The 12,670-nt window shown below is 39.8% G+C and overlaps 1 protein-coding gene and 1 long non-coding RNA gene across 2 annotated transcripts in view; both read right to left on the reverse strand.

The window, feature by feature from the left end:
- The window catches only part of TAS2R1 (taste 2 receptor member 1), a 276,530-nt gene that overhangs the window by 110,732 nt on the left and 153,128 nt on the right, over positions 1–12,670 (reverse strand). The window lies entirely within an intron of this gene.
- LINC02112 (long intergenic non-protein coding RNA 2112) overlaps positions 1–12,670 on the reverse strand; it is a 262,510-nt gene that overhangs the window by 96,764 nt on the left and 153,076 nt on the right. The window lies entirely within an intron of this gene.

Here is a 12,670-nt window from a genome sequence, read left to right on the forward strand (position 1 = left end):
AACGTAAATTATTTCACAATTCTCTCCCCTCAAACACACCCACTATTTCTCTTTCTTCCTGCAAGAGCTGAGTTTTTTTCTCTTCAGGATAAACTAGCACATTCTTTTAATTCCCAGGAAATTATACTTTTCCAGGGATGATTACCACCCATTCTCAGAGTTTATAAGTCCAAGGGTAAGGCCCTGATCCAATTGGGGCTGGAGCTACAGATGAGAATGAAAATGACAGACCATCTCTGTGTGCTCCTGGACTGTGAGAGGTAAAATTTGGAATCTGACAGCTGTCACGTTTCCTGATAAATGAACCAGAGAAGTGGAGGGAGAAGGGAGGCCTGGGAAAAAGGCGCTCCTCCTAGGCTTCAAGTCCTGAAGCCAAAGCACATTCTTTACTTTGAGTCCCAAAAGGCAACTCATTATTATTCCAATAACACCACCTTTGTTTAGTCTGATAGGGGTACGGTTTCTGTCACTAGCCAACCTAGCGATGATTATTACATTATTTAAATTAAACACCCATTTCTATTTTTGGGAGGCCCTCGTGGGTGATCAACCTGCTGATTTATGAACCAATTCATGCTACGGTAGTGATGGGGAATAGCAGTTACCACACTATCTTTTGTTATACCAACTTTGCCTTGACACCCAATGTTTAATGTCTTGACCTAAAGTAATGACTAATAAACCCCAATGCCAGCAAAGAGGAAGCCCACAGAGAACCAGCATCAGTGCAGATGAGTCTCAAGGCAACACCCAAATATCCCACTAGGCCTCTCTCTTCCTGCATACACATATGTTAAGGCTTGAATTTAATTTTTTTCTCACACTATAAAGCTAAGCTGTGTCAGTAATCCCCATGCCAACCTGCTGGAGAAAAAGTCAATCTAACATCATTACATTTTTCTGGCTATTTTAATTCAGTTAAAAAAATAAAAATAAAAAACCACATTTTCCCTAGTACCTGCCTATTTCTAGAAAAAGCTAACTGGAAATCAGAAACAAAGAAGACAGCCTTTAACTGCTTTATTAATGGGAGCTTGGTCATGTCATTTCCAAGTTCTTCTTTTTCCAAAAGACCCAACTGATAGTCCCGTATTCATAAGGCACCTGCTCCCTCACCCCTACAAGTTCAAATCCAGTTTTCTTTCCCTTTTGGAGCTTTTCCTGGTGAAATTATAGCTTCTCATAGTGAAGGTGAACAGCGTGCTGGCTTATCTGGTCCCTCCGTCACCTTCCCCACCCCTCATCTGCCCTCTGCAGGTCAGGGTGTCAACAGTCTCCAGGACAGGTGTTAACTAACCTACCCCTGGAGGCACTATGTGTTGGGCAGTGAGAAACCCAAACTACATTCCAGACTCACTCATTTGAAAATGGAATTAATAAAACTGGGAATTAATGAATAACAATATTTTAGAAGGAGTCACAATTGCAAGATGCCCTGCTAACCCAGCATCCAAAAAACTGCTGTTTACTCTGTCATCTTTGGCAATACACACCATTATTACATCTTAGTTGCTTAATCCGTAAGAGGCAGGTAAGATGCCAAGCAATTCCTTGGAGTTATGGTAAGTTATTCATGCAAACACTATATTTATTAAGTGATTCAAGCATAAAGGTCATTCAACGCTTACGCTCTCTTTCTAATGCCCTTCTGATGCTCCTTCTTTTAAAGCCTGGTGGCAAAAGCACTCCCAACTCAGAACACAGGAGTACAACTTGAATTCAGAGAATTTAAGATGATCTCTAAATCAGGATGAGTCTTACAATCCAAGCTATGTCTTAGAATTACATAAAATAATGGTGCATTTTATATAATCAGTGGCATTTTAGATTTGATGAAATACAGCAACTGAATTAGTCCTCCCAGAATTCAAGGTCTTTTTAAAGCAGGATTTAATTCATATCTCAGTAGCTTTCCCCAAAATTTTCAGCAATTGCACCCTGCCCACCTATTCATGAAGCTGAGAGGGATCACAGGAGTTGTCTAGTCCCAAGTCCCCAGAGATGTTTTCTGGTGATAGACTGTAACCAAAACGACCTCTGGTATTTATTAAGTTTGCAAAATCTTGTGTCAAAGTTTTCTCAGAGCCTTTTATATGCTAATTGAAATTATGGATTTGTCCGAAAGGTGTTCTAGACTTTAGAATTTCCCTCACTTATTTGACCATTAAACCTTTTATCCTAGGACTGATTTGTAGGCGAATAAAAATGCTGAAAAAAAGTGAGACCTTGAAAGATTACACAACCTGCCCCCAAAGACCCAGTTAATAAGTGGTACAGTAAAGAATGCAGTCTGGCTTTTCTTATTCTGCTTCTGATTCTCCTACCACACAGCACTGCTTCATGGATCAGTTTTCAATGAAATGAATAAAAGGCACCATGGTGTAGTTCTCTCTTCACTCACGCACTTCCCTCAGAATTTCAAAGCCAACGAGTTAACAAAAAGACAAATTTACACTGGAAATCAACAACCATCTAAGCTGTGGAATTTTTTAGTGCATTGTGATGTCCATTAAAATCTGTCACCCAATTGCCTTCCAAAACCCCAGAGCAACTGAAACACACAAGCGTTTTTGAGTGGGCAGGGGTTAAGGGGCAGAAGCCAAGAGAGGATCAGAGACATCTCCCAGTAACACAGGGGCCCATTTCCCTGAACCTGTCAAAACCTTTGAGCAGGTAACACCGAGGAGTGGGTCTCCTGTGGCTGGCTTTGCAACTCCTTCTCTTCCGATTATGAAAATATCCTTCTTACACTGCACCGTAATCATTTGAATTTTTATTGTTTTCACTCAAAAGCTCCTAAGTTATTTAGATAAGCACCATTAAACAAAAATCTGAGTAATTAGTTCTTTTGATGTGTCCTAGTGGCAGTGGAGGAACTTGAAGACGTTTATTAACTGTTAGATCAGTCCCAGGTGGGACTTATTATAAACAGAGCTTAGCCCCAGAGCAGCCGCTCATTAAATACTGAACAGGAATTAGGTATTTCTCTCTTCCCATGCCATTCTTCATCAACCAGCCTCTACCACTTGGGTAGGATTATTATATTATATATTTTATGCCACTAAATACCACAAATCATTGCTTACGTGAAGTCCCGGAGGTGGGGCTAGAACACAATCACACCCTCCTTTAGAGACTGCGACCCAGAGAGAACAATCAGAAGGGACTCCCAGAGATCCGCTATTTAATCCTCTCATTTGGCTGGTCAGAGACAGAGATCCAAAGAAATTAAGAGATTTTCTCAAGGCCAACAGCTGGTCAATGGGACCCGCTTCTCCCATCTCTTGCTTTAGTAAATTTTCCATGCCAAGACATTTTCAAGTGCTTGACAGTCACCCACGGATGCTGACTGCTCTGAGTGATCTATGGCAAACCACCCACTCTTTTCCCAGAATGATAAATGTTTCTTATGTCTAATGTTGATATAAAATGTTATGAAAACGAGAAAATTTGGGGGATCTTAGAAAATAAAAGAAAGATTTACATGAAATAAAAATGAGTGGTTTTATCTCGTGTATGTTGGAAAACAGAATAGAAGTTGATTGGCATCCATGGCAGAAGGGGATCTGGGTTCTCACTTGTTCCCACCTGTTCAAGCATCCCAGTGGAGTCCTCAGTCCTCAAGTCTGTAAACCAGGCTGAACAGCCCCAGGTGACCGGGACACAGTGGGAAGTGAGTCAACTAACCCCTAAAAGCTCCTCCCAGTCCCAGGGTCGTGCCTTCATTCTTGAAGGTCGGTTTCTCTACAGCATAAACGTCATTATTCATAAGGCTTTCTCCCCTGTGTCATGTAACATAGGGCAGCACAAACAAGACTGTTTTTTTTTAATACATAGATGGAGTTTCGCTCTTGTTGCCCAGGCTGCAGTGCAATGGCACAATCTCGGCTCACCACAACCTCTGCCTCCTGGGGTCAAGAGATTCTCCTGCCTCAGCCTCCCGAATATCTGGGATTACACGCATGCACCACTACGCCTGACTAATTTTGTATTTTTAGTAGAGATGGGTTTCTCCATGCTGGTCTCAAACTCCTGACCTCAGGTGATCTGCCCGCCTCAGCCTCCCAAAGAGCTGGGATTACAGACGTGAGCCACCACGTCTGGCCTGCACAAACAAGATTTTAAATATGTTTTCCTGTTACTCTCCGAGTGTTTTGCTAACAGATGATTTGCAAAGAATATACATAGAAAGACAGCTCTCATTCACCCACTGAGAATCAGCCTCCTGAAAACTTTAGGCAGACTCAATAAAAATAAACTTATCACTACATCCCTGCTCCTAAGTTCCATGCAGAACACACATCAGGAGTCTGTAGCAAAATACCTCTACTCCCCTGAGAGATTTGTACATGCTAATCTCAATGTCCCTAACATAGCATTTAACAGCTTCACCAGCCACATGGAAACAGAAGAAACACCAAGTTTTTGTGGGGAAAACATTTCAAAAGGACAAAATATCTTTGAACCTGACTCTACCTTACTATCATTTCTCATTTTTATGTCTTATTTAAGATCTGTGAAAAACAATCCAAGGTTTAGTGCTGATTTTCTTAACAAAAGAAAATACTCAAGGTTGTTTTCATAAATAGACAATCTTAACTCAATTTTCTTCTGTTACCACATGCCACATTTAAATAACCTCAATGGCCAGGAAAACTTAAAAAGGGAACTTTCATGAGTTAGGTAGGGCTTGGCTGCATCTAATTCAATGTCATTCACAAGAAAAGCTAAAAATCTTTACCTGCCTGAAGTTCTTAATGGAAGGGGAGGAAGAAACCCAAAAGATAAATGAACAATGCATGTCTAAATTAAAACTGAACCAAAAAAAAAGACATCAGTCAGAGAAACAGTCAGAGAAACAGAGAGAAAAGTAGCAACTTTAAGCATGATGAATAACTGATCCACATCCTTAGCAAAAACAAGATCTCATCAGGAACCAATCAGGAGCACCAACCTGAATTTGCTGATTCATGGAAAGCAATAGGTGATTAAAAAAAAAAAAGCCTGAGCCTCTTTCTTTTCCATTTCCCCAACCAGACAACCTGCGAAGACACTACACACTTATGATACATTCCAGATTAACTTTACCAACCAACTCTCTTGGACTTTACTGTTAATTAGTGCAGAGGCAACTCCCTTTTTTCTCTTCTGCCTCCCAGGCTTCCCCTCTGGATGCTAATGAAATAGGGAGATTTCTAAGTTTCATTGTCTCAGTTGAGCAGTGCTATTCTTTTTTTTTTTAATTTTATTATTATTATACTTTAACTTTTAGGGTACATGTGCACAACGTGCAGGTTTGTTACATATGTATACATGTGCCATGTTGGTGTGCTGCACCCATTAACTTGTGATTCAGCATTAGGTATATCTCCTAATGCTATCTTTTCTACAGGCAATATGGAAAAAATAAACATGGAAGATTTCTGGATGGAAACAGTTTACAATCAAACATCCCATTGTTGACAAAATCATCATAATTGTCACTTCGCGCCTCTTTGCCAACTGTATAATTAGTGTCATTACCAGTAAGTCATGGAAATATAAATGATAGTGGATTATACAACCCAAAACTGCATAAACATGAATATTTTATGGTACCTAAGCAATGTCACGAATTGTACATAACATAGACTTGGCATTTGCTTCCAGCAGATCTTAAGATTTCTCACCCAGACTAAGTGCACAGTCTTACCATATAGCTTTAGAAAGATGTTTCTGGATGGATGTTACCAAAGGCAAGTGAGGAGGAGGAGGAGAGGAGGGAAAAAATTCTCTTTGGAAATGATTTTTAAAAACACAATTATTAGTGTATTTTTATGTTTAGGACATGAAATTCCATTTTTATATTTTCCTACATGGAATATAATTTCAAAAGAAAATATTTTTAAAATAACAATTTAAAGCCAAATGTATTCAATTTTGTATTGCCTACTATCCGATCACTCATGTTTGGATACTTTGGCAAATATGTTAGACCAGATCACTCTGCACCCAAGTTGCCTATACTCTCCCTGACTGGGGTGATCTCTTCCTTTCCCCTCTGCCCAAGACCAGCTCAAGACACACTGCTCTCTCCCTTCTTTGAATTTCTAAAGGCCAGACTCTGGAAAACATAGGTTTTGACATTTTTAAGACTCTGTAAATTATGGCAATCAAACTCTTTTTGTTTGTGTATACATTTGGAATTGCCATACTTCTACAAGCACTCCCGTTTTTAGTGTCTAATATTGGGCCGGTGGGTCATAGGTACTCTGTCAATATGTAAGGAAAATTATTAAGTGGACACGTTCATTAGTTTTTATGGAAAATAAGATGGGAATGGAAAAATATTGGATAAAACCCAACTATTCTTTTCAACAGAATTAGATCACACCCTGGTAATCAAAAGCATCCATACAGCAACAAGTGGTCCGTGTGGTCCTTAAAACATGCCAGTAGGGGTTGAGAAATACCCTCCTAATCAAGGTGATTATTCATGACAAACTTGTATATATAGTAAGGGCCAGGTGAGTCTTTCATGACATCATTAGATTATCAGATCTTTGAGGAAACAGAGTGGTGTCTGGTTTGTTTATAGCTGTGGTGGGCAAAACAATGGCCCCCAAAGACATCCACATCCTAATCCCTGGAACTGGTGACTATGTGAGGTTATACCAAGCAAAAACAAAGCACAAAGTGTTCTTTTTTCTTTATTCTTAACCTAGAAAATGTTTATCATATTTAAATTTTCCATTTTGACTCAGTTACTGTGCTTTCTGAACATGTATACAATGTTATGGTGAAGTTTCAGAAAATCTTTGAAATCTGCAGCTGCATTAGACAAAGAGTATAAATGTACCTGTTCAAAGTTTAAAACATAAATTTCTGTTTGAAAAACGAAGATGGACTGATAGGTTGAAACTTCATCTTACAAGGTTTATAGTGACACAAAGCAGTTGACACAATGACATTTCTGCTTGAGGAAACTTACTGTGGGTACATTGAAGAGAATGAATTGGTGGAAAAAGGCTGCGGGCAGACCAAGTAAGAAGTTGTTACATTAACCCCAGCAAGGGATGCAGTGGCCTGGCCTCATGGCAGTGGGGCTAGGCAAAAGTAGATGAATTCTAGGAAAGGTTAGGAGGTAATATTGACAGGAGTTGGCAACTGGAGGAAAAAGAGGGAGAAGTCAATGGGATCTGGACCACATGGTGAAAGACAACCGTTCAGTAAGGAGCAGAGCATGAGATATTATGGTTGAGTATGAAATTTATTATGGTTGGACATAATATAATAAGTTGAAGGGAGAGATTTTTTTAAGAAACATATATTTGGAAGTCATTAATATATGAATACAAATGGAGGTCACTGAGTATGAAAACACCCAGGGTAGCATAGCCAAGACAATACTAGGCAAAAAGAACAAAGCTGGAGTCATCACACTACCTGACTTCAAACTATACTACAAGCCTACAGTAACCAAAACAGCATGGTACTGGTACCAAAACAGATACACAGACCAATAGAACAGAAGAGAGACCTCAGAAATAACACCACACATCTACAACCATCTGACCTTCAACAAACCTGACAAAAACAAGCAAAGAGGAAAGGATTCTCTATTTAATAAATGGTGCTGGGAAAACTGGCTAGCCATAAGCAGAAAACAGAAACTGGACCCTTTCCTTATACCTTATACAAAAATTAATTCAAGGTAGATTTAAGACTTAAATGTAAAACCCAAAACCATAAAAACCCTAGAAAAAAGCTAGGCAATATCATTCAGGACATAGGCATGGGCAAACACTTCATGACTAAAACACCAAAAGCAATTGCAACAAAAGCCGAAATTGACAAATGGGATCTAATCAAACTAAAGAACTTCTGCACAGCAAAAGAAACTATCATCAGAATGAACAGGCAACCTAAAGAATGGGAGAAAATTTTTGCAATCTACCCATCTGACAAAGGGCTACTATCCAGAATCTACAAGGAACTTAAACAAATTTTCAAGAAAAAAAACCAACCCCATCGAAAAGTAGGCAAAGCATATGAACAGATACTTCTCAAAAGAAGACATGTATGTGGCCAACAAACATATGAAAAAAAGGTCATCATCACTGGTCATTCAAGAGATGCAAATCAAAACCACAATGAGATACCATCTCATGCCAGTTAGAATGGCGATCATTAAAAAGTCAGGAAACAACAGGTGCTGGAGAGGATGTGGAGAAATAGGAACACTATTACACTATTGCTGGGAATGTAAATTAGTTCAACCATTGTGGAAGACAGTGTAGTGATTCCTCAAGGATCTAGAACCAGAAATATCATTTGACCCAGCAATCCCATTACTGGATATATACCCAAAGGATTATAAATCATTCTACTATAAAGACACATGCACACATATGTTTATTGAAGGACTATTTATAATAGCAAAGACTTGGAATCAACCCAAATGCCCATCAATGATAGACTGGATAAAGAAAATGTGGCACATATACACCATGGAATACTGTGCAGCCATAAAAAAGAATGAGTTCATGTCCTTTGTAGGGACATAGATGAAGCTGGAAGTCATCATTCTCAGCAAACTAACACAGTAACAGAAAACCAAACATCACACGTTCTCACTCATAAGTGGGAGGTGAACAATGAGAACACATGGACACAGGGAGGGGAACATCACATACGAAGGCCCATCAGTGGGTGGGAGGCAAGGTGAGGGAGAGCATTAGGACAAATACCTAATGTATGTGGGGCTTAAAACCTAGATGATGGGTTGATAGGTGCAGCAAACCACCATGGCACATGTATACCTATGAAACAAACCTGCAAGTTCTGCATATGTATCCCAGAAGTTAAAGTAAAATAAATAAAATTTAAAAAGAAAACACCCAGGGTAAGTGTACAGATTGAGGACCTAGGGAAAAACCTCTGAGGAACATCATTTTCAAGGAACAGGACAGAAGACAAATTGACAAAGGAGACTAAGTTCATGACTAGATAGAATAAAAACCAGGAGAATTTAGTGTTATGATAGCTAAGAGAGAAGATTTCCAGATGGTGGATATTAACCAAGTCAAATGCTGCTGGGAAATGAAACAAGACAAAAGATTGGGCATTGGAGTTTGCAATATGGATATCATTAGGAACCTGGTTGAGAATATTTTAGTGAAGTTTTGGGGACAGAGATAGGCCTGAAGGGTGTTAAAGAGGGGTGAATGTAAGATTGTGTCTTTGAGGTGCTATACAGGAACACATGAGTGGGGTAATTTATAAAGGAAAGAGGTTTATTTGGCTCACAGTTCTGTAGAACATTCAAAAAGCATGGCACCAGCATCTGTTTCTGGTGAGAAATTCAGGCTGCTTCCACTCAAGGCAGAATGGGAGGGGGAACTGGCATGCAGAGATCACATGGCAAGAGAAGAAACAAGAAAGAGGTGAGGAGGTGCTGGGCTCTTTTTAACAACCAGCTTTTGCAGGAACTAATAGAGCAAGAAGAGAACTCACTCATTACCATAAGGATGGCACCAAATTATTCACAAGGGATACGCCTCCATGACCCAAACACCTCCCATTAGGCCCCACCTCCAACACTGAGAATCAAATTTCAACGTGCAGCATAAGGGACAAATATTCCAATTATAACAGAGCACCAGGGGAGAAAGTAGGAAAAACAAGTGGGACACCTCTTTCAATAAGTTTAGCTAAAAAGGAGAACAAAAAATGAGATGGTAAAGATTTGTAACTTTTTTTTTTTTTTGAAAAGAGAGAAATGCTAATCTGGAGAGGCCAGTAAAGAGGATGAGGTTGAAAATTCAGGTCAGCATGAGGATAACTAGTGTCACAAGGTACCTGGGGAGCTGGGATGGGTCTAGCCCAGGGATTAGGGGATGTGTTATGGATAATAATAAAAAACATGTCTTCACTGTAATGGGATGGAGTGAGGAAAGAATGGACATGGTGGCTGCAGGTGAGATTTTCAATATGGTGGAGGAAAACTGAAGCAGTTTCCTTCTGCTGGCTTTTTATTCTTCTGTTAAGTAGGACATGAAGTTTTCTAAATGCTTGATTTTGAAAGGAGAGCTATTCTAGCATTTAAACCAAACTTTTAATACAAATAAATCCAAGATTTTCATGTGGTACCATCTCTGCATAGGTCTAAATTTTTATTTATTTATTTATTTGAGACGGAGTCTTGCTCTGTCACCCAGGCTGGAGTGCAGTGGCACAATCGCGGCTCACTGCAGGTCTAAATTTATAAGACCATAATCTAATGGTTTAAAACAATTTAAAAAGAGGTTGCAATGTTATTTGATGCTCAACTTTATAAAAGAGCTTGTCTTAGTCTATTTACTGTAGCTATAACAGAATTTCTGAGATGGGGTAGTTGATAAATAAAAGAGGTTTATTTGGCTCATGATTCTGGTGACTGGAGAGTTCAAGATTGGGTAGCTATATCTCATGGAGCCCTCAGGCGCTTTCACTCATGGTGGAAGGTGGAAGGGGAGCTGGTGTGTGCAGAGATCACATGCCATGAGAGTAAGCAAGAGAAAGAGGGAGGGAGATAGTAGGCTTTTTTCAGCAACCAGCTCTCAAGGGAATGAATAAAGCAAGAACTCATTCACCCCAGAGGAAGGGCATTAATCTATTCATGAGGAGTCTGCCTCTATGACCCAAATACATCCCATTAGGCCTCACTTCCAACACTGGGGATAAAATTTCAACATGAAGTTTGGAGGGGACAAATATCCAAACCATAGCAGAGCTCATTCATAATACACAAAAAGAATTCTCAACCCCCTTTGACTCCTCTACAAATCTCTCACTTCTGTAGCTTCTCAAGAGCCTCCCAAACACCAAAAATACCCCTCCATACCCAGCCAGGGCCAACTTTCCTTTCTCTCTTCTCATTCTTTGCCTTCTAGCTCTCTATTATGAAAATAAACTGAAGGCTTTTAGCTAAATCTTTTTCTCTTTCTTCTTATTTTTAGACTTCTCCCCCTTCTATCCATTTTCCAGATTTAAAGTTTTCCATCACAGTAGATCCAGCAACAGGTCTGGAAAATACAGAATTTTACTCAGAAGACTCTAATAGGAATATAAAATGAATGAACATAGGGGAAGAACTCACACATGATTAAGTCAAGGCACAGCCCTCTCATCAGTAAGACACAAGCTACCCTCGTAGAATGTGATGTCAAAGTTGGAGAATGGCCTAGCATAGCCATCACCATTTGTGTAGACCTTAAATGCTGAGGGCTGCCCCCTCCCAAAAGAACAGAGGTTAAGTGGATAAAAAAGAGTGATCAATAACTCCGAAAAATTGACCATGGCATAGTGATGTAGCTGATACTGGACAAAATTTGAATTATTGATCATGTACAGCATCTGTACATTTAAGGCATTAATTCTTCAGATACTGAAAGATTCTAAAAGGAATGAACAGGAATGTTAACCACAGGACTTATTGGAGACTATAGGTTAGGCTGAGCCAGGAACAAAATCCCTCTATGCATTAATAAACTTAGTAAACCCACAGGGAATGTGGGAGATGCTTTCCACTCTTCCATGTAGCTGTTGAAGGGCTCATTACCTGTGCACACAAACAAGAGAAAAATCAAAATTCCTCTCCCATAAAGCGATACTTCAAAGAAATTGTCTTATAAGTCAAGTACAAAGAACAACAAAATCACACTGGATTAACACAACAAAACTGATTTCCTGCTCATGCAAAGTTATTTGTGGATCCAGCAACCTTGGAGAACAGGTGTCCTCCAAGGCAATGTCTCAGCCTCCTAGGCTGCTGTGAACCTCTCTTTTCTCTGACTCAACATGCATCCATATGGCCACTAAGGGGAAAAGAGTACTGGAGAGTTTCCATGCTGGACATACCCCTTTGCCTCTTGAGAGGCCCTCACCAGCATTCTTCACCCTGATTTTGGTTGCAGGAGGCAGATCTGTTTGGAATGCATAAATGAGCTATCTTGTCTTCTGGCTTCTCATTCGATTTGACCAATAGGATGCACCAGCAGGAGATCCAAGGGCAGAAACTGGGTGAGTTTAGGGCGTTATTCCTCCACTCACTTCCTGTGAAATCACAGTGGCCTGGCTGCACCCCTCTACGGAGGACCAGCACTTGCTCACATACTGTCTGCCTCCCTATCTCTTCCACTCTCTGCATTCTTGTACTTGCTCCCTTCCCTTGCCTTTTCAAGCTTAGGTGCTGTAAGACCTCCCCAGAGTACACCACCATCCTGCTGCTTTCTTAAAACATAGCCCACACCTTTGCAAACTTAAACTCCAGCCTAGTCCCTTTAGTAAACTCTTCCATTACTCAGATTTTAAATGATTTGCTCTGAACGTGGCCCACATCACTTCCACTTGAAATCATCGACCAGAATTAGTTACATTCCTTGCTTAACTTTAACAGGAATGGGAAGTTTAATCCTCTCAATTACCCAAGAGAAAGGAGAACCAGATATTGGCGAAAACTAGAAGTCTACTGCTGAGACCTAGCAATAGACATAATGTGATTTACATGATAATTATAGAGAAGCAGGTCACTTTCTCACTTTCATCATTAGAAACAGCACATAACTCATCACAATCCCTTTTCAGTGTGCTTCCAAACAGTTGGAGCACTTCCAAAAGCAGTGATCAAGTACAAAATTACCAAATCAAT

Source organism: Homo sapiens, chromosome 5 (genome assembly GCF_000001405.40).
Source record: "Homo sapiens chromosome 5, GRCh38.p14 Primary Assembly".
Lineage (NCBI taxonomy): Eukaryota > Metazoa > Chordata > Mammalia > Primates > Hominidae > Homo > Homo sapiens.